The 21,695-nt window shown below is 35.6% G+C and overlaps 1 pseudogene; it reads left to right on the top strand.

Moving 5' to 3' along the window:
- MAPRE1P2 (MAPRE1 pseudogene 2) lies at nucleotides 15,247-17,787 on the top strand (annotated as a pseudogene).

Here is a 21,695-nt window from a genome sequence, read left to right as displayed (position 1 = left end):
GGTTTCACCATGTTGGCCAGGATGGTCTCAATCTCTTGACCTTGTGATCCGCCTGCCTCGGCCTCCCAAAGTGCTGGGATTACCGGCGTGAGCCACCACGCCCGGCCCATATCTTTTTATATAATATGTATATCTTTATATTATATATATCTTATATTTTAATTAAAATGTATTAAGACATATCTTTATACATATCTATATCATATATGATTATTTATAAATATATATCATATGTCATGTAGAAATATATATCTTATATATGAGAGATATATATCAACATATAGATATATATATCTAATGTATAGGTATCTACATATAGATATATTTATATGTAAGATATATAAATCTGATATATATCTCATATATGATATCTGACATATATCTGATATATATTTATATATCTTGTATAGATGTCAGATATGTATCAGACACATATCTTATGTATATGAGATACATACTTTTTTTCCCCAAGTGTTTGTGGCATGGAAAACCATCTCCCCAGGCAACTTTGTATTATATGGGGTGCGTGTGTGTGTGTGCACACACAAAAAAATTTTCTTGGGAAAAGATATTAAGTTCTGGTTTTTGATTGTCAGAGAATGAAAAGACAGATCTTACAGCAGGATAACCAGATATTTCTGTCACACTTTTTATAGAGAGTATTATTTTACTCAATATATATTTACACTGTAATAAAAAAAGTAAAACCAACAACATATTATCGCAAAAATATATTTTGAAGCAAAGCAATATTGTCTTTAATAATCTGATGTAACACAAAGCTAAAATTTAGAATCAATGAACTACAGGTCATTCCCAAAATAAACATTATTTAAAAGTAAACATCATTTCTCAAACAGTGTTCTTAATAAGAACGTGATTCTGTTAGTTTAGAATTACAGTGTTGCACAAGTCAACAAGTCAAGCTGTGAAGCAGGACTAAGTGGTTGGTATACCCTAGAGTTGTGCGCTGAAGACACGTCAAACTCTCAAATTGCTGTGGAGGTAATTGGTGCTGCCAATTATGAGTAGATTTATAAACTCTAATAATTAAATGATGGGGAAGATATTCAAAATACACAGAGCATCTGAGAAAATATTATAGCCTAGATAAGCACATACATACATTTATACACATGCGTGAGCACACACAGCCACCCACCCCTTCTAAGAGTGTAAATCAATATTCCACCAACCTCTTTGGGACAGTCTTCCTATTACCCTTTGTATTACATGAGACACAAAGAACTTTCACTTGCACGGTGCTCACTTCTAATATCAAAATAACCTTCCCCCATGAGGAAAAAAAACAAATTATTGTATCTCAACGTCAGTAATTTTTGCTTTGACATTGCATGATTTTGCCATCATTATACATTTTTTAAGTTTATTGTTGATCCTATGATGACCTGAATCAGACCCTGTGGTATTGAATGCTCAATGCGCCCAATACCCAGTTATCCTATTCTTTCTTACTAAAAGAACCAATGATATTTAGTCAGTTCCTTGACTAGACAAAGCATCTCCCCATTTGCATTTTCCAGTCTGTTTTACTACCAGTAGAAGCCATGTTACTATGTTCTGATTAATACGTTCTGACTAATGTGAATCAGGCAGACTTGACTCAGGCTGAGGCCCCAAATGTGCTTGGCAGGGTAGACTTGATAGCTTTATATTTGTCATCACCATGACTTGTCTTGTTCACTTTTTCAAGGAGAATGGAAAGGTGCACTGATCCCCTTTTTCTGTAAGAAATGTCTACAGAAGAGCTGCTGACCTTCATCAATGCACAAATGTGTGCTTGTGAACTAATAATTTCTTGTTTTAAGCCACTAAATTTCTAGATAGTTTGTTTCACAGAATTATTGCTGCAATAGCATGTTGTCACACAATCCCGACTCTTTAAGTCTTTTTTATTTTATGTTTTCTGCCACTCACAGCTGAAACTATTTCTAGCTAAAACACTGCGTACATGTATATTATCTTTTTAAGAATTAAACTTATTTTACATTTTCTTAATTCAGTGACAGAGACATCTAAATTGTTATAATTGTCCAATGACTTGACAGGCAAAAAGAGTGTAATGAAAGGGTCATCACTCCTTTTATTTATGAAGAACACATGATTACCTTCTGCTAGCAGCATCTCATATACTATTTTAGATGATAATAATCATAGGGTACATCTTTAAAATATTTTAGCTTGTTAAAGAAGTCCTATTTAATTTTATTCTTATAATTGTTTTCTTGAGGAAAATAGTATCGTATACACTTTGCAATTTATGAAATAATTTAAACAAAAGCCATTATGTACTCAAAGAAAATGGTATTTAGAGATTTATAGGCTTGGGTTGAAATGCCTAGTACTGCCCAAATAACCTTAGAAGTATTATTAAAACATTCAGTCACTTGCCTTGTCAGGAAAATGGAAATATTAATAATTTCTATGCAGTTTTGTGGCGGGGTACAGTAATTATCTGATAGGCTTTAATATTAAACGAGTGTTATGAGCAAAGGAAGACACTTCTGAAACCATTAAGTAAATTTCCATGTAATCAAGTTCTTCCTTCGCATTTCCCAAACATTAATGACATGCAAAGGCCACAACAAAGTTCACTTAAATTCTCTCTTTACTTTCCTGAAGATTTTTCTTATACTTTGAAGGTCATGCTTCAAAATTGCTTGTCAATCTTCTTTAACATCCTTATTTTTCTTTTCCTTCATGGCTTTTCCACTCAATCTTTTCTTTACTTCCATTTCCGTGTCACAAAGCACAAAAGGTCCTCTAAAACTGGATAGAGGCCTCTTGGGAAATATCTGAGGTGGGGAAAGAAAACTGAACCAAATTCTTGAGAAAAGTAGGAGGGAAGAAAGACTGTCAATATTTTAATACATTTCACCCTATACATAGATGTCAACTTTCATGATATTTCTTCAAAAAATGCGTTACCTGAATTTAATCATGAAGAAACATCTGATAAGCCCAAATTGAAGGGCATTCTATAAAATAACTCATTCAAAAGTGTCAAGACCATAAAAGTCAAAGGAAGATTGAGAAATTATTTACAATTGAAGGAAATCAAAGAGACATGAAAACTAAATGAATGCATGAATCTGAAGTGGGTTACTTTGCTTTTATGGATTTTTTTTTTTTTTCTGAGACAGAGTCTCACTCTATCGCACAGGCTGGAGTGCAGTGCACTGCAACCTCCACCTCCTGGGTTCAAGTGATTCTCCTGCCTCAGCCTCCCTTGACTATAGAGTTATGTGTCGCTTAACTATATAGAGTTATGTGTCGCTTAACAGGACAAGAGGAATGCTCTGAGAAATGTGTCATTAGGTGATTTTGCACTTGTGTAAGTAAACAGTATACTTACACAAACCTAGATGGTATAGCCTGCTGTACAGTTAGGCTATATGGTATAGACTATTAGGCTACAAGCCTGTACAGCATGTTACTGTGCTGAAAATACTGTAGGCAAATGTAAAACAATGATAAGTATGAATGTATCTAAACATATCTAAACATAGAAAAGCTACATAAAAAAACACAGTATTATAATCTTATGAGACTACAATATATACAGTATGTCCTTGAGTGAAAAACTGTTAGGCAGCACGTGACTGTACATGGATTCCAACATGCATAGCACTTGGTATATAGTTACAGCTCAACAGCTGTTAATGTTATCATTATTTCATTTGATTACAACAGTTCTTTGAGTTTAAGAAACAAAAAATAACTGTTATAAACATTTAATAGATAATATTACTCAGAAAGGTGGGTAAAATGCCTAGGATCTTATGAATGAAAAAAGATGAAAACTAATTATAAATGAAGGAAAAAAGAATAAGGAACATATATGTGTGTGTGTGTGTGTGTGCGCGCATATATATATACAGAGAGACATATATATACATACATATGTAAACGCACATGTTTATGTTTTAATTTCAATATTTAGTTACCTCATACTCTTCCTAATGAAAGACTTTTAGGAATTCCTAATATCTATTTTTTTTTGAGACGTTGTCTCCCTCTGTCGCCTAGGCTGGAGTGCGGGTGCGCAATGTCCGCTCACTGCAAGCTCCGCCCCCCCCGGATTCATGCCATTCTCCTCCCTCAGCCTCCCGAGTAGCTGGGACTACAGACTCCCGCCACCACGCCCGGCTAATTTTTTTGTATTTTTAGTAGAGACCGGGTTTCACTGTGTTCACCAGGATGGTCTCCATCTCCTGACCTCGTGATCTGCCCGCCTTGGCCTCCCTAAGTGTTGGGATTACAGGCATGAGCCACCGTGCCCGGCCCCTTTATTTTTTTAATTGAAGCATTACTTACATAAAACCATACACAGAAATCTTCAGCGTTCAACTCAATGTACAGCCAAGATGAGGTGTACATAAAAACCACCATGAAAAGTTTTCATAGACCAAAAACTCTACCTAGGCCAGGCACAGTGGCCCATGCCTATAATCCCATTGATTTGGGAGGCCAAGGCAGGAGAATCACTTGGAGTTAGGAGCTTGAGACCAACCTGGGCAACATAGGGAGACAGCATTTCTACAAAAAATAAAAAATAAATAAACACAAAATAAAACATTATGTAGGCATGGTGGCTGAAACATTATCCAGGCATGGTGGCATGTGATTGGAGTCCCAGCTACTCAGGAGACTGAAGTGGGAGGACCACTTGAGCCCAACAGATCAAGGATGCAGTGAGCCATGATTGTGCCACAACACTCCAGCTGGGTGACAAAGCAAGACCCCGTCTCTAAAAACAAAAACAAAAAATTCCACCTAGATCAAGATGTAGAGTATTTCCAGCATTGCAGAGGGCATCCTCATGATCCCTTCCAATTAACATTCCTCCCCAAGTGGAACTACTATTCAGACCTCCATCTATAATACATAGAACACTTTTATCTATTTTAAAACAACACAAAGCGATGCACGTTCTACTTTTTTTGTGTCTGACTTTACACATTACATGCATGGAATAATTCACCTATTTTGTTGTACTGATCAGAAATTCTGTTTTTTTAAATGATGTTTTCATTTTATAAATAAATAAGTTTGTTTAGTTTTTATCCATTTGATGGCAATTAAATTGTTCCAGATTTGAGACAATTATGAATATTTTTGTACATGTTTCTGGCATACCTAGGCATTCATTTCTTTTGGGCTATACCAGGAGTGAATTGCTGGGCCTTATCATGCATGCATGACTAATTTTATTTAATAATGCCAAATATTTTTCAGCATGACTGTATCAATTTGTACTGCCACAAATACTATAAGATTTGAAATTGCTCAATGTCTTTGCCAAAAATCAGTATTTTCAGTAGTTTAATTTACCCAGTCTTGTTAATTGTAGGGTACCATTTTATTATTTATTAAATGAAGATTTTTAATTTACATTTCTCTGGTGACTAATGATGCTGATCATACTTCATACATTCAATATATTTAGGCATCTCATGTGTGGCACCTATTCAGAAATTCATTTTATTAAAACTTGATTGTCTTTTTCTTATTTTGTAGAAGTTCTTGTTATAAAATAGATACAAGTGCTTTGTAGGCTTTACCCATAGTTTTTTTTTTCTTTCCCAAGTTGTGAATTGGACATTTTAATGGCATATCTTGATGAACAAGAGATATTAACTTTAGTAAAGCCCAATTTATTCATCTTTTCTTATATGGCTATTCTCTTTTTTAGGTTTAGAGTTTTAAATTTAATGAACAAATTGTAGAAAAAAATAATAAAAAGAATAATTTGTATTTTGTCATATGTATATGTAAATTTAATACATATATTTATAATACATATGTATATAAACACATAAGTATGACATTTCTGTGAAGATACATTATATATAATTTTAAGATGGCACACACACACACACTCTTTGAGATTACACACTATATAGTACAAATTGTGTTGTGGAAAGTGCAAGCCAGAGCTTCAACATGATTTCAAGTAGTTTGTTTTCTTATGAAGCTAAAACATTGTCTTTTACATTGTGTTCTTAATAATATTATATACTTTTTATATACAGAGAATTTGCTAAGCTAAGGTGAAATTCCCTTTAGATTCAGCCTAATTTATGACAAATACAAGATTGATAGGATTTACATTTTTATAATTCTACTCTTGTTTTTGTCAGCATAGGAGCATCCCTAAAACGGTGACTATAATCAATCTTGAAACAAAGAACACAACTAGAAATAATGGCTCAATAAGGAAAGAAAGGGAAAGAAAAATGTATTGATAAGATGTCACTACAAATCAGCATCAAATTAAGGTCTTCACAATGGTATACTCTTTTTATCTTTTGTTTCAATTGAGTGAAATAAGATTAAATCACATATTAGACTCAGAAGGAAAACTAATCAGCTTAATTAGAACACCTGATTTCTTGTAAATTTCATTCACATTGGAAATATCATTAAGTTATGTTTCTTAAAATAGGAACATTTTAGTTATGATAAAATAATTTTGCAAAGCATAGATAAACAAAATAAATTTTATTTTTGGTTAAAGTACAATTTAGTTTTATCGTTGTTAAATGAATGGAATTATAAAAACGTTAATACCAAAATATATATTTCAAACTGAATTTTATTTTAAATTTAGTAAATAACTTGCTATACGGAGAAAAAGAAAAAAAAATGACAATTTTGCCTAAAGTTATGAGGTGACAGATGTTTCCACACTTTGTAATTTTTTGAAAATTATTTATTTTTCTTTTACTTTTTAGGGTGTCTGTAAGTGTTAATTACACAAGTACCAAGAGCAATTAGAATTTCCAGTGTAATTCTAAAATTTTTAAAAGTGCAAATGGAAAAAAAAATCTGTGTATTCTTATGCAAATAATGGACTTTTCAAATATTCTTCCAATGTATTGACATTTGTTGATATATTCTAGCTTTTAACTCTTGATTTCTGTATATAAAAGGTAGAGAAAGTTTTTTTATTATACTTTAAGTTCTGGGGTACATGTGCAGAACATGCAGGCTTGTTACATAGGTATACACATGCCATGGCGGTTTTAAGAAAAATATTGCCACTAAACAGTAAATCACTGCTTAATTTAGTACTTTCATATTCTTACTATTTTCCTTGAGACTTACATTAATACATCATTGTTGAACAAGTGTAGACTCATTGAAAGGTAACTATTAGTCTTATCACATGTAATTTTTTTCCCATGCTTCCTAGGCATGGAGAACATACATATACAGACATCACCAGAGATGTCGATTCTTCAAAGTTCTAGTCTCTCTGCAAAGTATTTGAAGATTAGACTTGCATAGACAAAATTGTGTCCCCCCAAAATTCATGTTGAAGTCTGAAACTCCAATCTGAAGATAGGGTCACTAAGGAGGTAATTAAGGTTAAATAAAATTCATGAGGGGAAGGCCCTAATCCTATGGAAATGGTGCTCTTATAAGAAGAGAAAGAGACCAGAATGCACTCTTTTCAGGCACATATAAAAGACCATATGAAGGCATAATGAGCAGGTAGCCATCTATAAGCTAAGGAGAGAGGCTTATCCAGAAACCAACCATGCTGACACCAGAATTATGCAAAAATAAAAATTCTACTGTTTAAGCCATGCCGTCTTTTGTAATTGCAGCCCAAGCTGACTAACACAGGATTTATCCAGTTGACTTCAGCATAATTATCATCAAAGTTTCCTATGGTTAAAACCAACACTTTTAAACAGAGATATTTGAAGTATATATGTTTACATCATAATTACAATGGATGTGGGTGCAATATCTTTATTATTTAGTTCAATATGAAACAATTTTTCCATTTTTATGCTGAACTAATCATAAATTATCTACAATGAGACTTGTCGTTGTAATGTAGACATGCTTGATTATTAGTACTCTGCACCTCCACTTGTGCAATAGATTACACTAAAAGTGTCTTCCTTAATGTGTTCACTTATCACATTCCTGTCCATATTTAAATCTTATTTTCCAAGGCCAACCAAATGCTCATATATTCTATGAAGACCTTTGCTTGTCAGTTTTGATTGACTTTTTATTCTCTGTACTTTCATACACTTACTTAAGCAGTTATTTATCAATATTATTTAACTGTGCTTTAACATATCCTTCCCAATTAAATATGTTTTTAAAGAGTCTGTACAATGCTATTTTGTTTTCTGGATAATAAATAAGGCACCATTTTGACATCAAATAGATTTGAGTTCAAACTGCCACTCTCCTCAATATCATGTCTGTGCCCCTTAAAAGAGTCACTTTATGTCCTTATCTTTAAAATAGGGGTGATACTGCCCATTCCATTCTTTTAATATAGGCATTCATATCTATCTATCTATATATAAATCACTAGCAAGCCACTTCCTGACACAAAATAACAGTCCAAAATGTATTAGGTATTAATATACATAGTTTCATATTATAGTTATTTTTAATTTACGATTATTTTTCATATTAATTTACTAGCTACTTCTCTTGCTGAATAATATACTTGCTAGATAATATGATTAAATTATTTATTAAGGCAAAATAATTATAAAAAATACTATTTCAAAAGTGCTAGTCACAAAATACAAATGAAATGCTACTAAAAATAAAGTGAATATAATTACCTCTAGAAAACTTTCAGTTTTAAAAGAGAACTGCAATGCATATTTACATTATGAAAAACAGAAGGTACTGAATTTTACATGTCACACACAAAATATTGGAGTTCAAAAGTGAGAGAGATAATTTCTGCTTGAGGAAAATATCAGCATATAGACTGTATTTACATAAAGCCTGGTGGAATTATTATAATTTTAGCAGATTGAAATGAGTAATAGTGATTTTCAGGTAGAGAAAAATACTACTGGTAAAGTCATGGGGTTCTTGCAAAGCGGTATATTGTATGATTTGTCTTTGAGCATGTAGGCTGTGCAGATTAGAAAAGACCAGTAAGATCAAAAAGAGATGTTTTGCAGAGTTTACGGTCAACTTTGAATGCCAGGCTCAAGTTCTACTCTGATTTTGGCAGAGAGTCATGGAGAAAATTGATCACTGGCAGTAGCAACATACGAGTACGTAGGAATGGCTTGTGAGTGATGGAGGTGAGGGGCAAGTAGCACTTTAAGGAATTGTTCCCATAGTCCAAGGTGATGGGTAATTAAGACCTGGACTGGGAAAATGAGAGTAAGTAAATTAAACACATTTAGATTAAAGATGAACATTTTTCCAAGAATGCACATAAAAATGAAGATAGAATACATTTTCTTAGAAACTCTCCCATTTTGTCCAAACTGTGCAGTTTTATCAGTTTTATGTTCCTTTATTAGTTACATTTAGAAAGACTAATTTAGAAAGATTGTGAAAAACTTTAGGAAGAGGTCAAAATGAATTTGATTATTTGGTTGAAAACTAAACATGACACATAGTAAGTGATATAATTTATTAAAGTCTGATACAAGTGAAAAGCTATTTAGCAGACATTATTTTGAGGAAAATATTAACAGATGAAGTAAATATTAGCAGATCATGAAGATGTCAAAAATAATGAGGATGATGTTTGATGGATCTGATGGGACCCAACATTTGCCATGACTTTACTGATTAAGTATCTTAAGTTGTTAACATTTGGGGAAATTGGAATGTTAAAATTTATACTTGCAAAATGTGCTTGTAAGAAAAAAATAAGAATTCACTCTCTTGCTAGTATATATTCTCTAAGAAGAATATTAAATGAAAATTTTTAATAGTCTAAGAAAATTTTCTGCACTTTCAAAATACTAAATTATGTGTTAAGGAATAAATCTTATTGATAGAAACAGCAATAAAAGCTATACAAATAATTTTCTTATATTGAAATATTTTCTTCAAAATTGTAATGCTGAATTTGGTTTTCATTTAAGACATGGACTATCATAGTGTAACAGCTTGCCAGCACAAAAGTTCATCATTTCAATCACCTTAAGAATAACCCGCATTCTCATGGGATTGATTTCAACCAGAAAGAATTCAGCAAGGGAGAAAAATACTAGCCAAATTTAATAAAGCTGACAGTTTCTGACTTATTGTCTGGTTTACTCAGGGATGGCAATCTCTTTTAAGCGACATAAACATGAAACCCAAGAATAAGTGTTTATATGAATGATGGTTTTTACTCTAAGTATTCCATTCCAAAGCAGAGTTTTTCTGTATGAATTTGTGGGATGAAATAAAAAAATTATTCCTCTGTGCATAAGTAAATGAGTAATTAATAAGAATAGCAAGCAAGGAAATAACAATTCAGTTCTCTAAACAGTGATTTTTGTCCCCTTAGCATTTTAGGTTCTTAAAAATTCTATTTCTTTAGCACCATGAAGCAATGAAACCTGTCCACTGTAGACTGAATAGTAAAACCCACAAGCCATGGAAACTGACTTTCAAAAAAAGAATGATTTAGAGCCTCGACCTTTGATCTTTGCAGAATCTGAAAAGTTCACCCTGTACTGAGATGGAAATAAGTTTTATTAGGAAATGAAAATAATCCAACTTATTAAAAAGAATATGAAAGTTTTATGCTTTGCAGATAATTCAAAGCTCCTGAAAACAAAGTCCCTTGAGTTACAGTCAGATAGGAGGAAACCACACCTTCCCTTGTTTCCTTCTCTTCTTCAATAATACTTCTCTTCAGTAGGAATTAATAAATGTTTCCACTAAGACAATGACTACACAGCTACTAAGGAACTTGGTATGTGCATAAAAGCATCACTGAAGTGAATAGCGTTTGGCTAACATAAACTGAGTAGTTGTCTATGTGTGCTTATAATCAAATTCACTGTCTTCCCAGGTAGTTCAATTAAACTGTACCTCATGAATTCTTTTGAGAATAAAAAAAGCCAACTTGCAAAATTGTAAATGACCTCAATCGAATCAGCTAAAAAAAAAACACTGAAATTGAACTATCTAAAGAATTGACCTTGAAGAGCCTCCATGTGCCATTATAATCCTTTTAAATTAAATTATCACTTCAAATTATTTACTTGCTGTTTAATTCCCTTACATTTTCTTACATTTCCAACCTTTTAGCTCACCTTTGTCACAAAATTTTCTACAGGCAGGGAAAAAAATGAAAAGGATACTTTCATTATAATGATGTCCTGTTGATTCTATATCTAGAGTCATTTTGATTCAGGAAGTTGCTCTAAGGTTCAGTGGATGTTTGCCAGAATTTTAGTCTGTGAGAGCTAAGTACTTCTTGCTATATGGAGTGAGCAATACTGCCTGCATGGAAATAAGTGTACTCCCTTTACCTACCCAGAGTTAAAAATCTGGAAGGAAAAGCAAAAGCTCTTATCATTCATGTCAATATCCTCTGTCTATATCCCTTGTCTCCAGGTGTGAGTAGCGTGATATATGCATACCACACAGGGTAAATACTTGTTGAATAAATTGAATAAATACATATACATGACTGAAATAATGAGAATGATTTTCATGAGCCACCCTCAAATAGTAAGTTCATTACTTTGTGGGAATGCCGTGACAATATAAGCAAAAGAACTCTCTTAACTTCATTCTTTTATTTCTTGGGTTCTTTCCTGATTTTTGCCATAATAATATTTCACAATCTCAAGTGTGCATAATGTGTGTGTCTCTCCGTGTATAAATATACAACTTGCCCTGCCAAATTAACTTGCATCAGCTCTTAAGAAATTAACAGAATGTTAGGCCAGGCGTGGTGGCTTACGCCTGAAATCCCAGTGCTTTGGGAGGCTGAGGTGGGCGGATCATGAGGTCAGGAGATCGAGACCATCCTGGCTAACACGGTGAAACCCTGTCTCTACTAAAAAAATACAAAAAAATTTAGCCAGGCTTGGTGGTGGGCACCTGTAGTCCCAGCTACTTGGGAGGCTGAGGCAGGAGAATGGTGTGAACCTGGGAGGCAGAGCTTGCAGTCAGCTGAGATCGTGCCACTGCACTCCAGCCTGGGCGACAGAGGGAGACTCCGTCTCAAAAAAAAAAAAAAAAAAAAAAAAAAAGAAAGAAATTAACAATGTATTTGATTTGCCATGTAAACAAATTGTTAATATAGTTAGGGAAACAATAGGTTAAAATGACTATATTGCAACTAAAATATGCTAGATAAATGCACACATATTTTCTGACAGGGTTTGTAATCCATACTAATTTTTGTTATTTAAAATTAGAAACCAATAGAGCAGCATATAGCTATATAACTATATAACACTGTGTCCAGTGTCATCAGAAATAGATTTTTAAAGAGCAAGTTTCTTCTTTCATTTCTTCAGCAGCATGCCCCTTCTCATATATTCAGTTATGCTACATTGCTTGAGGCTGTGCTTCTGTGAATCCTTAACATGTTTCTGCTGCCCTCTCTGCTTGTAATTACCCCCATTTCAACTCACTTTACAGCAGCAGTTGGATATCCTGCCATCTTCTATTTTCTGCACACGTGGCAGCTCAGTTGAGCTGTGATATGATGAATATTGTTTCAATGTTGCCAGATCAGTTATACTACAGGACTGTCTTTCTGGTGGCTGTGCTTCGATCACTGCTGTACAGTAGTGCTCAGAGGTAGGTTGATGAAACAAACTCTGAAGACTTATATCTTATGGATTATAAGAAACGTCCATAATAAGCAAGCCCTGCTTAGGGTGCAGTGGCTGCTCCAGCACAGTCTTGGTTGAAGTCCATAGTATCATCAGAATTCCTCTGGAAGTCCTCCTAAGCTGACCCCAACAGTGCTCCACAAATCTGATTAGTTTAAGATTCATCTTTTAAGGTACTATGAACATATTTTTCCTCTGTGTTTGCCATGGATACCAAGAGGAGAGAAACTATGGTTTATCCACCCAGATTTGCCCGAATATTTTCTGGCACAAAGTAGGAGCGCGCAAATGCATTGATAGCATAAAGAGGAACTAGATGCTAAATTGTGAAGTGAGATAAAACTCTGGTAATATAAAAGAATTTTACAGCTGCCATTTCTGATACTTTTCTTCCTAGTCCTCACTGGATCAATGCTTGCCATCGGTGAAGAGATTTTATTTTTTCCAGGAAAGGAAAAACACACATAAAAAAGAAAAGAAAGAAAAAAAAAGTTATTGAATATATTAACAGATTTTGTAAAGTTCAAAAAGTGGGAACATATATCTGATAAGTCATGTGACTTTAGATTTTCAAGCACTAAGATTTTGAGAATGAAAAAGGTTTCTTTTTTTTTTTCCAAAAGAATAAGAATATGGTGGATCAGAGCATAGTTTACACTTTAAATAAACGGATGTGTGTGTGTGCATGTGTGTGTGTGTGTGTGCTTGTGTGTGTGTTTACTGTGTGTTGGGGGTGGGGGAGGGATATGCTGATTACAGAAGAGCAGATTTTCAACCAAAAGGAAGTAATCTAGGCATATCCCTAGAAGGAATACATAGAAAAGGGAAGAACAAAAAAGACCACAACATCATAAATGAAGGTATCTACTTTCCCCAGTACATAAATAAGTTACAGTAGAGAAAAAAAATGTGTTTGTTCCAAAAGCATCTGAGATACCGCCCCCTAATCCCTGCACAGCAACTAATGATGCTGTGGGTGTAATGGATTATTACATAACGTCACATGTCTCTAAAATAATCAAGGAAGTCTGAGGGTAAGCCAGTGGCACTAGAGTGTCCTTGTGTCAGATGAAGAGAAATAAAAACCTCAATGGCCTGATAGGTTGTCTCTAAAACAACTGGTTTGCACTCTGAAAACAAAGTCAATGTCATGAATATTTGGGAGACTGTGAGAGAGACAGTGACACAGCAGCGTGTGCTGTGGGAATAAAGCCTGAAGAGTTGAGAACAGAGGGTTTCTCAAACCAAAATTCATTTTAAATAAAAAGAGTATCAGAGTTCCCTCCTCCAATTTTGTCTATTGATTCTTCTCAGTTCCTCCTGTTTCACTGCCATGTGTTTGGATCACAATGAAGGAAAAAGAGCAGGTGAAAAGGGAGAAACTTGAATGGACTGAGAAACCCCAAACTGAAATTTTTAAATAAGTGAAACTGACAATTGAGTGTACGTAATAAGATTCAGTTAGAAAAATACAATTTTCGTTTTCCATGTGATTAGGTGAAATTCACAGCACTAGAATAATTTTGAACTGTAGTAGAGAATCAAAAAATATAGAGGAAAACTGTTACAACTCACTTTTTTTTTTTTTTTTTTTTGAGACAGAGTCTCACTCTGTCACCCAGGCTGGAGTGCAGTGGTGTGATCTCGGCTCACTGCAAGCTCCGCCTCCCAGCTTCAGGCCATTCTCCTGCCTCACCTTCCTGAGTAGCTGGGACTGCAGGCGCCCCCCACCATGCCCGGCTAATTTTGTTTTTGTATTTTTAGTAGAGACGGGGTTTCACCGTGTTAGCCAGGATGGTCTCGATCTCCTGACCTCGTGATCTGCCCGCCTCGGCCTCCCAAAGTGCTGGGATTACATGCGTGAGCCACCGCGCCCGGCGAAAACTCACTTTTTAAACGGCCTCAATAAATCCTGAATCCCTTTTCTAATCCTTTGTGCTCCAGGACAAAATTCTTTATTATGGCCTTTCCTTTCCATCTCCCTCCTCCTCCCGTGCTCATAACTTTTTGTTGTTGTTGTTTACTGGAAATTTCCACTCATTTTTATATCCAGAACCTGGCTCCTCTCTCTTCTTTCTGACACCAATAATTAACCTTTATCTCTAATATTTTCACCATTTCTTTACTCTCAAAGTCCCTCATATGAAATAAAATATTAAAGGAATGAAAATTTAGTTTTAACACAACTGAAACCAGTTAGTAATTAGTTTACATTTTTATTTTGGAACAATTTCAAACTTTGTACAGGTTGCAAAAATAAAATCTCCTTTGTACAGTTTTAAAAATTACTAGCTTATTTCCTTTATGATATTTCTCTCTCTCTCATATGTATATATTGTATGCATATGTGTGTATGTATGTTCAGCATGTGTATAATATACATTTCTTTCTTTAATGTATGAGGCTAGTTTTCAGGAATTATTACATTTTAACCTTTAAATATTTAATTATCGTTAGCTAAGAGTAAGAAGATTTTAAAAAATAGCTACAAGAAAATTATAAAGGGCAGGCACGGTGGCTCATGCCTGTAATCCCAGCACTTTGGGAGGCCTAAGTGGGCGGGTCATGAGGTCAGGAGTTCAAGATCAGCCTGACCAACATGGTGAAAACCCATCTCTACTAAAAATACAAAAAGGGCGGCGTCTGGCAGTTTGAATGAGATGAAGAAACTGGAGCCGGGTGAGGGCAGCGGACGCGAGAGCCGAAGATGGCAGTGAATGTATACTTAACGTCAGTGACCAGTGATAACCTAAGTCATCATGACGTGCTGGCCTGGATCAATGAGTCTCTGCAGTTGAATCTGACAAAGATCAAACAGTTGTTCTCAATATCCATAAACTGGATATTGTCAGTTTATGGACATGCTGTTCCCTGGCTCCATTGACTTGAAGAAAGTAAAATTCCAGGCTAAGCTAGAACATGAGTGCATCCAGAACTTCAAAATACTACAAGCAGGTTTTAAGAAGCTGGGTGTTGACAAAATAATTCCTGTCGACAAATCAGTAAAAGGAAAGTTTCAGGACAATTTTGAATTTGTTCAGTGGTTCAAGAAGTTTTTTGATGCAAACTATGATGGAAAAATCTATGACCCTGTGGCTGCCAGACAAGGTCAAGAAATTGCAGTGGCTCACTCCCTCCTTGCTCCAGCTCCGAATAAACCCAAGTTCTAGCAATGCAACTCCCCAGATGCCCATCTCAACACAGAGAACTGCTGTGGCTCCTAAGACTGGCCCTGGCGTGGTGTGAAAGAACCCTGGTGTGGGCAATGGGAATGACGAGGCAGCTGAGTTGATGCGGCAGGTCAACGTATTGAAATTTACTGTTGAAAACTTGGAGAAAGAAGGATTTCTACTTCGGAAAGCTACGGAACATTGAATTGATTTGCCAGGAGAATGAGGGGGAAAACAACCCTGTATTGCAGAGGACTGTAGACATTCTGTATGCCACAGATGAAGGCTTTGTGATACCTGATGAAGGCGGCACACAGGAGGAACAAAAAGAGTATTAACAGCCTGGACCAGCAGAGCAACATCCAAATTCTTCACTCCAAATCATGTGCTTAACTGTAAAATACTCCCTTTTATTATCCTTAGAGGACTCACTGGTTTCTTTTCATAAGCAAAAAGTACCTCTTCTTAAAGTGCACTTTGCAGACGTTTCACTCCTTTTCAAATAAGTTTGAATTAGGAGCGTTTACATTGTAGCAGAGCAGTATTAACATCTAGTTGGTTCACCTGGGAAACAAAGAGGCTGACGTTGGGGCTTACCCTGTGGATGCGGGTCACACTGAGTGCTGGAGAAGGTGTTGTGTAATATGCTGAGGCGGCGACCTTAGTGGAGAAATGGAAAGACTGAATTGAATTTTAAGCTAATGTGAAATCGGAGAATGTTGTAATAAATAAATGCCTTATGAGTATTTAAAATATGCTTCCATATTTCAAAATACAAAATGTAACATGACAGAGGATTTTGCGTTTGATGTTGTATCTGGGAAGGAAGGACCAGACCTTGGAACCTTTGGAACTTGCTGTCACAAGTCTTAGAGGGCTGCTTGAATCCTCATAGGCCTAGGCTTTGGTCTAAAAGGAACATTTAAAAAGTTGCCCTGTAAAGCCATTTGGTGCCATTGACCAATTGCATCCCTGCTAAAAAGCAAGAGGCATTGTTGACTGGATAATAGAGGATGTGTTTCAGCCCTGAGATGTTCGAGGTGAAGAGCTTGGTTTTCACTGAGCATTTCTCTATTTTTCCAGTTATCCCCAAAATTTCTATGTATTATATTTTTGGGGAAGTGAGGTGTGTCCAGTTTTTTTGGTCTAAAAACTACTTTTGGGAACTTGCCCACATCTCTGGGATTTGAATGGGGATTGTATCCCATTTTACTGTCTTTTAGGTTTGCATTTACCATCTTTCTCTTCTCTGCTCCCCTTTCCCACTGGGGACTCCTCTTTGGCTCCTTGAAGTTTGCTGCTTAGAGATGGAAGTGAAGCATGCAGGTGACCATGCTGCAAGTTTTCTGGACCTCTGGCAAAGGGAGTGGTCAATGAAGGCCATTGTTACCTTGGGATCTGCAAGACTGGGGTGTTTTCGGTATGTGCTGTCCACAGCTCTCCACTGTAATCTGCATACTTTGCCAGTGCACTAATCTCTTTGGAGATAAAGTTCATTAGTGTGTTGCTAAATGTTAATTTTCTTTTGCAGAAAATACAGTATCATGTCTGAATTAATTATTAATATTTAAAATATTTCATTCTTTAACTTTCCCTCATTTGCTTTGCCCACAGTCTTTTCAGTTCCTTTGTTTGGCAGGATTCTGCAAAATGTGTCTCACCCACTATTGAGATTGTTCAGCCCCTGATGTATTTATATTGATTTGTTTCTGGTGGTAGCTTGTCTTAAAATGTGTGTAGAAAGAAAGCATTTTCTGATAAAATTGTTGTGTAGTGCATGCTCTGTGTGGAATTCAGAGGAAAACCCAGATTCAGAGATTAACAATGCCAAAAAATGCAAGTAACTAGCCATTGTTCAAATGACAGTGGTGCTATTTCTCTTTTGTGGCCTTTTAGACTTTCGTTGCCCTAAAATTACATTTTTTGGGAACCCATTTTCCACCTGGTCTTTCTTGACAGGGTTTTTTTCTACTTTAAACAGTTTCTAAATAAAATTCTGTATTTCAAGAGTAAAAAGAAAAAAGAAAAAAATACAAAGGAAAAATTAGCTGGGTGTGGTGGTGCATGCCTGTAATCCTAGCTACTCAGGAGGCTGAGGCAGAAGAATCGTCTGAACCTGGGAGGCAGAGGTTGCAGTGAGTGGAGATTGCGCCACTGCACCCCAGGCTGGGTGACAGAGTGAGACTCCATTTCAAAAAAAAAAAAATTATACATACAAAAAGTTTAACAGTAATATAATACTTTATTCTAATCTTCAGTCCTCATTCCAGTTTACTCCATGATGCCAATAATGTTCTGTATGGGGATTATTTTTCAGTATTGGATCCAGGCCCAAATCCCATAATGAATAAAGTTTACATATCTCTCTAGTCTTCTTTAATCTCGGACAGCTTCTCAGCCTTTCTTTGACTTTGACTTTCCTGACATTGACATTTGTTGAAGAATACAAATCAGTTATTTTATAGACTCTCTCTCAGTTCAGATTTGTCTGATATTTCCTTAAGATTAGATTCAGGTTATATATTTTTGGTTGGCACACTACTTAAGTGATGCTATGTCCTTCTCAAGGCATCAAAATGGAGGCCTAAAATGTCCAATTGCAGTTTATTGATGATGTCAACTTTGATCAGTTGGTTAAAATATCATCATATCCACTTCATAATTACTATTTTTCTTTTGTAATTATTAACAAGTATGAAAAGATGTCCTTTGAGAATATGTAAGTATTCTGTTTCTCATCAAATGCCGCCTAGTTAATTAAACATGTATTGAGGTGGGCAGATCACCTGAGGTCAGGAGTTCGATTCCAGCCTGACCAAAATTGTGACACCCCATCTCTACTAAAAATACAAAAAAAATTAGCTGAGCATAGTGGTGCACACCTGTAGTCCCAGCTACTTGGGAGGCTGAGGCAAGAGAATCACTTGAACCCAGGAGACAGAGGTTGCATTGAGCTGAGATCATGCCGTTGCACTCCAGCCTGGGTGACAAGAGCGAAATTCAGTCTCAAAAAAAAAAAAAGTATTGATGATTCTTACCAGAATTAATTTTTAATATGTTGGCTATAAAAAATTACTGTATCTAACCATATTATTTCATCTATATTTATCAGCTGATATTTTACTGAAATGAATTTTTCTTCTCCACTATTTATACTCTTATTTATTTATATACCTATGCACATTTATATACATGTATGCATGTATTTATTTTCCACATACATTCATGGAGTCCTATTTTATTCAATGAGACTTCATATCTTTCTATACTGTGATGCCAAATAGCACCAATTTTGCTAGTTGAAGCTCTGCCAACCTGAATTATCTTATATTTTGACATATAACCATAATTATTTTTAAACATCGCTTTCTTTTCTGGTATAGCAAGTTGTTTCAATTTCATCTTCTAATTTCCCAGTCCCAGACCCGGAAGCAGTCATTTTTCCAAGTATTCTTGGTTGCTTTTAGTGGTTAACGGTATTTAGAAACTGCATTAGTGATTAAATGCTGTCTAATAAGTTTCCCCAAAGCTTAATGACTTAAAGCAATACTAAGTATTTATTATGTCTTACAGTTGCTATGGGTCAGAAATTCAAGAGTGGCTTGGCTGAATGGCTCTGGCTAGGGTTTCTTATGAATTTTCTCAGTCAGGTGTCCACTGGATCCACAGTGATCTGAAGTCTACATGGATCGCTCACATGGCTGGCATGTTGGAGGGAGGCCTTTATTTCTCTCCAATATGGGCATCTCCCAAGAATGGCTGAGTGTTATCATGATAGTGTGGCTGGCTTTCCCCAGAGTGAATGTTTCAAGGAAACAAGATAGAAATGTTATCAGCTCCCTGGATTCTTGTAATCTCCCAGAGCAGAAATCAAGAGAGGTTACCAGATATAGCAACAAAAAGAAAATTTATTTAGCTTGTGCACAAGGGAACCAACACTGTGTGTAGGGTTAGTTTTATAGAGTCTTTCTATAGGGAAGGGTTTCATTAGGGCAGGTATAGAAGAGGTTTCTCTAGTGCTTGTGCAGTAATTCAACATGCTTCTTCATAGACAGCATGTAATATTAGCATTGTAATCTCCTCACCTGGGTGTGAGTTTTAGCATTAAAATGAGGAAGGGGTAACTCGAAGTTGAAGTTTAAGTCTAACTGCACATGTGGGACCCCAGGGGAGTCCATAGCCCTCTAAAGCAGCACTTGTGCTTAATAACTTCTTGGGTATTTTGTTGCTGAATGGCTGGAAGTTAGGTAAGCCTACAGCTTGATTAAGAGGCTTTTGTTCTTTTATTCTAGACCACATCGAAACAGAAAAACAGTCAGCCTGCGTGTCTCAGAAGTGTCAATGTTTTTTATGGCATAGCTTTGGGAGTTACTAGTCACTTCTGGTATCTCTTAGCCAGGTGATCCCTCGTTCAGTGTGAACATGAACTGCATAAAGGTAATGATACCAGAAAGTAAGAATCACTGGGGTCAATCTTGGATGGTGAGTTCCACAGAAATCCCAAGATTTGCTGGCATTATGCATGCTCATTTCTTCTGGTACACTATTGCTCCTGGGCCTTTTAAGTGAACAGAGCTATATACATACATGCAGATAGATACAGAAATCATAGATAGAAAGTTAGATACAATAGATAGATAGATAGATAGATAGATAGATAGATAGATAGATATGAATTGTTAACCTAAATAACAAACAGGCTCTCCAAAAGAAAAATATATTTATTCTGGAAGAGGGCACTGCAATGGAAGTACAAGTGCCATAGTAAACTGTGTATGTATTCAGGGAGGTAAAAGAATACAAAGACTTTTAAAGAAAAAAAATAAAGAGGACTAAATAATTGCTTTCAGATAATTACCTTTGGCTAAATAGATCAATTACAAAGGTGGTGCCACTCTGAGGTTACACAAGCAATTGCTTGGCATATGTCCTTGGAGAAGTATTTTTTGTGTAAGTCTGCAATTATCTTTGTGCAAGGTTGTGATTTTTACAGTGTTTTGTGATAGTTTTTGTTATCAGACACACAAGCATAAGAACGCTGTCTTTTTAAATTATACTTTAAATTCTAGGGTACAAGTGCACAACGTGTAGGTTTGATACACAAGTATACATGTGCCATGTTGGTTTGCTGCACCCATCAACTCATCATTTACATTTGGTATTTCTCCTAATGCTACCCCTCCCCCAGGCCCACACCCCCTGACAGGCCCAGGTGTGTGATGCTCCCTGTCCTGTGTCCAAGTGTTCTCACTGTTCAATTCCCACCTATGAGTGAGAACATGCGGTATTTGGTTTTCTGTCTTTGTGATAATTTGCTGAAAATGATGGTTTCCAGCTTCATCCATGTCCCTGCAAAGGACATGAACTCATCCTTTTTATGGCTGCATAGTATTCCATGGTGCATATGTGCCACATTTTCTTAATCTAGTCTATCATTGATGGTCATCTGGGTTGGTTTGCTATCGTGACTAGTGTTGCAATAAACATGTGTGTGCATGTGTCTTTATAGTAGCATGATTTATAATCCTTTGGGTATATAACCAGTAATGGGATTGCTGGGTCAAATGGTATTTCTAGGTTTAGATCCTTGAGGAATTGCCACACTGTCTTCCACAATGGATGAACTAATTTACACTCACACCAACAGTGTAAAAGCATTCCTATTTCTCCACATCCTCTACAGCATCTGTTGTTTCCTGACCTTTTAATGATTGCCATTCTAATTGGCATGAGATGGTATCTCATTGTGGTTTTGATTTGCATTTCTCTGTGACCAGTGATGATGAGCATTTTTTCATGTGAATGTTGGCTACATAAATGTCTTCTTTTGAGAAGTGTCTATTCATATACTTTGCCCACTTTTTGATGGGGTTGTTTGTTTTTTTTCTTGTAAATTTGTTTGAGTTCTTTGTAGATTCTG

This window comes from Homo sapiens, chromosome 4, assembly GCF_000001405.40.
Source record: "Homo sapiens chromosome 4, GRCh38.p14 Primary Assembly".
Lineage (NCBI taxonomy): Eukaryota > Metazoa > Chordata > Mammalia > Primates > Hominidae > Homo > Homo sapiens.
The sequence above is the reverse complement of the archived record's forward strand: the minus strand, read 5'-3'. Positions and strand labels throughout refer to the sequence as shown.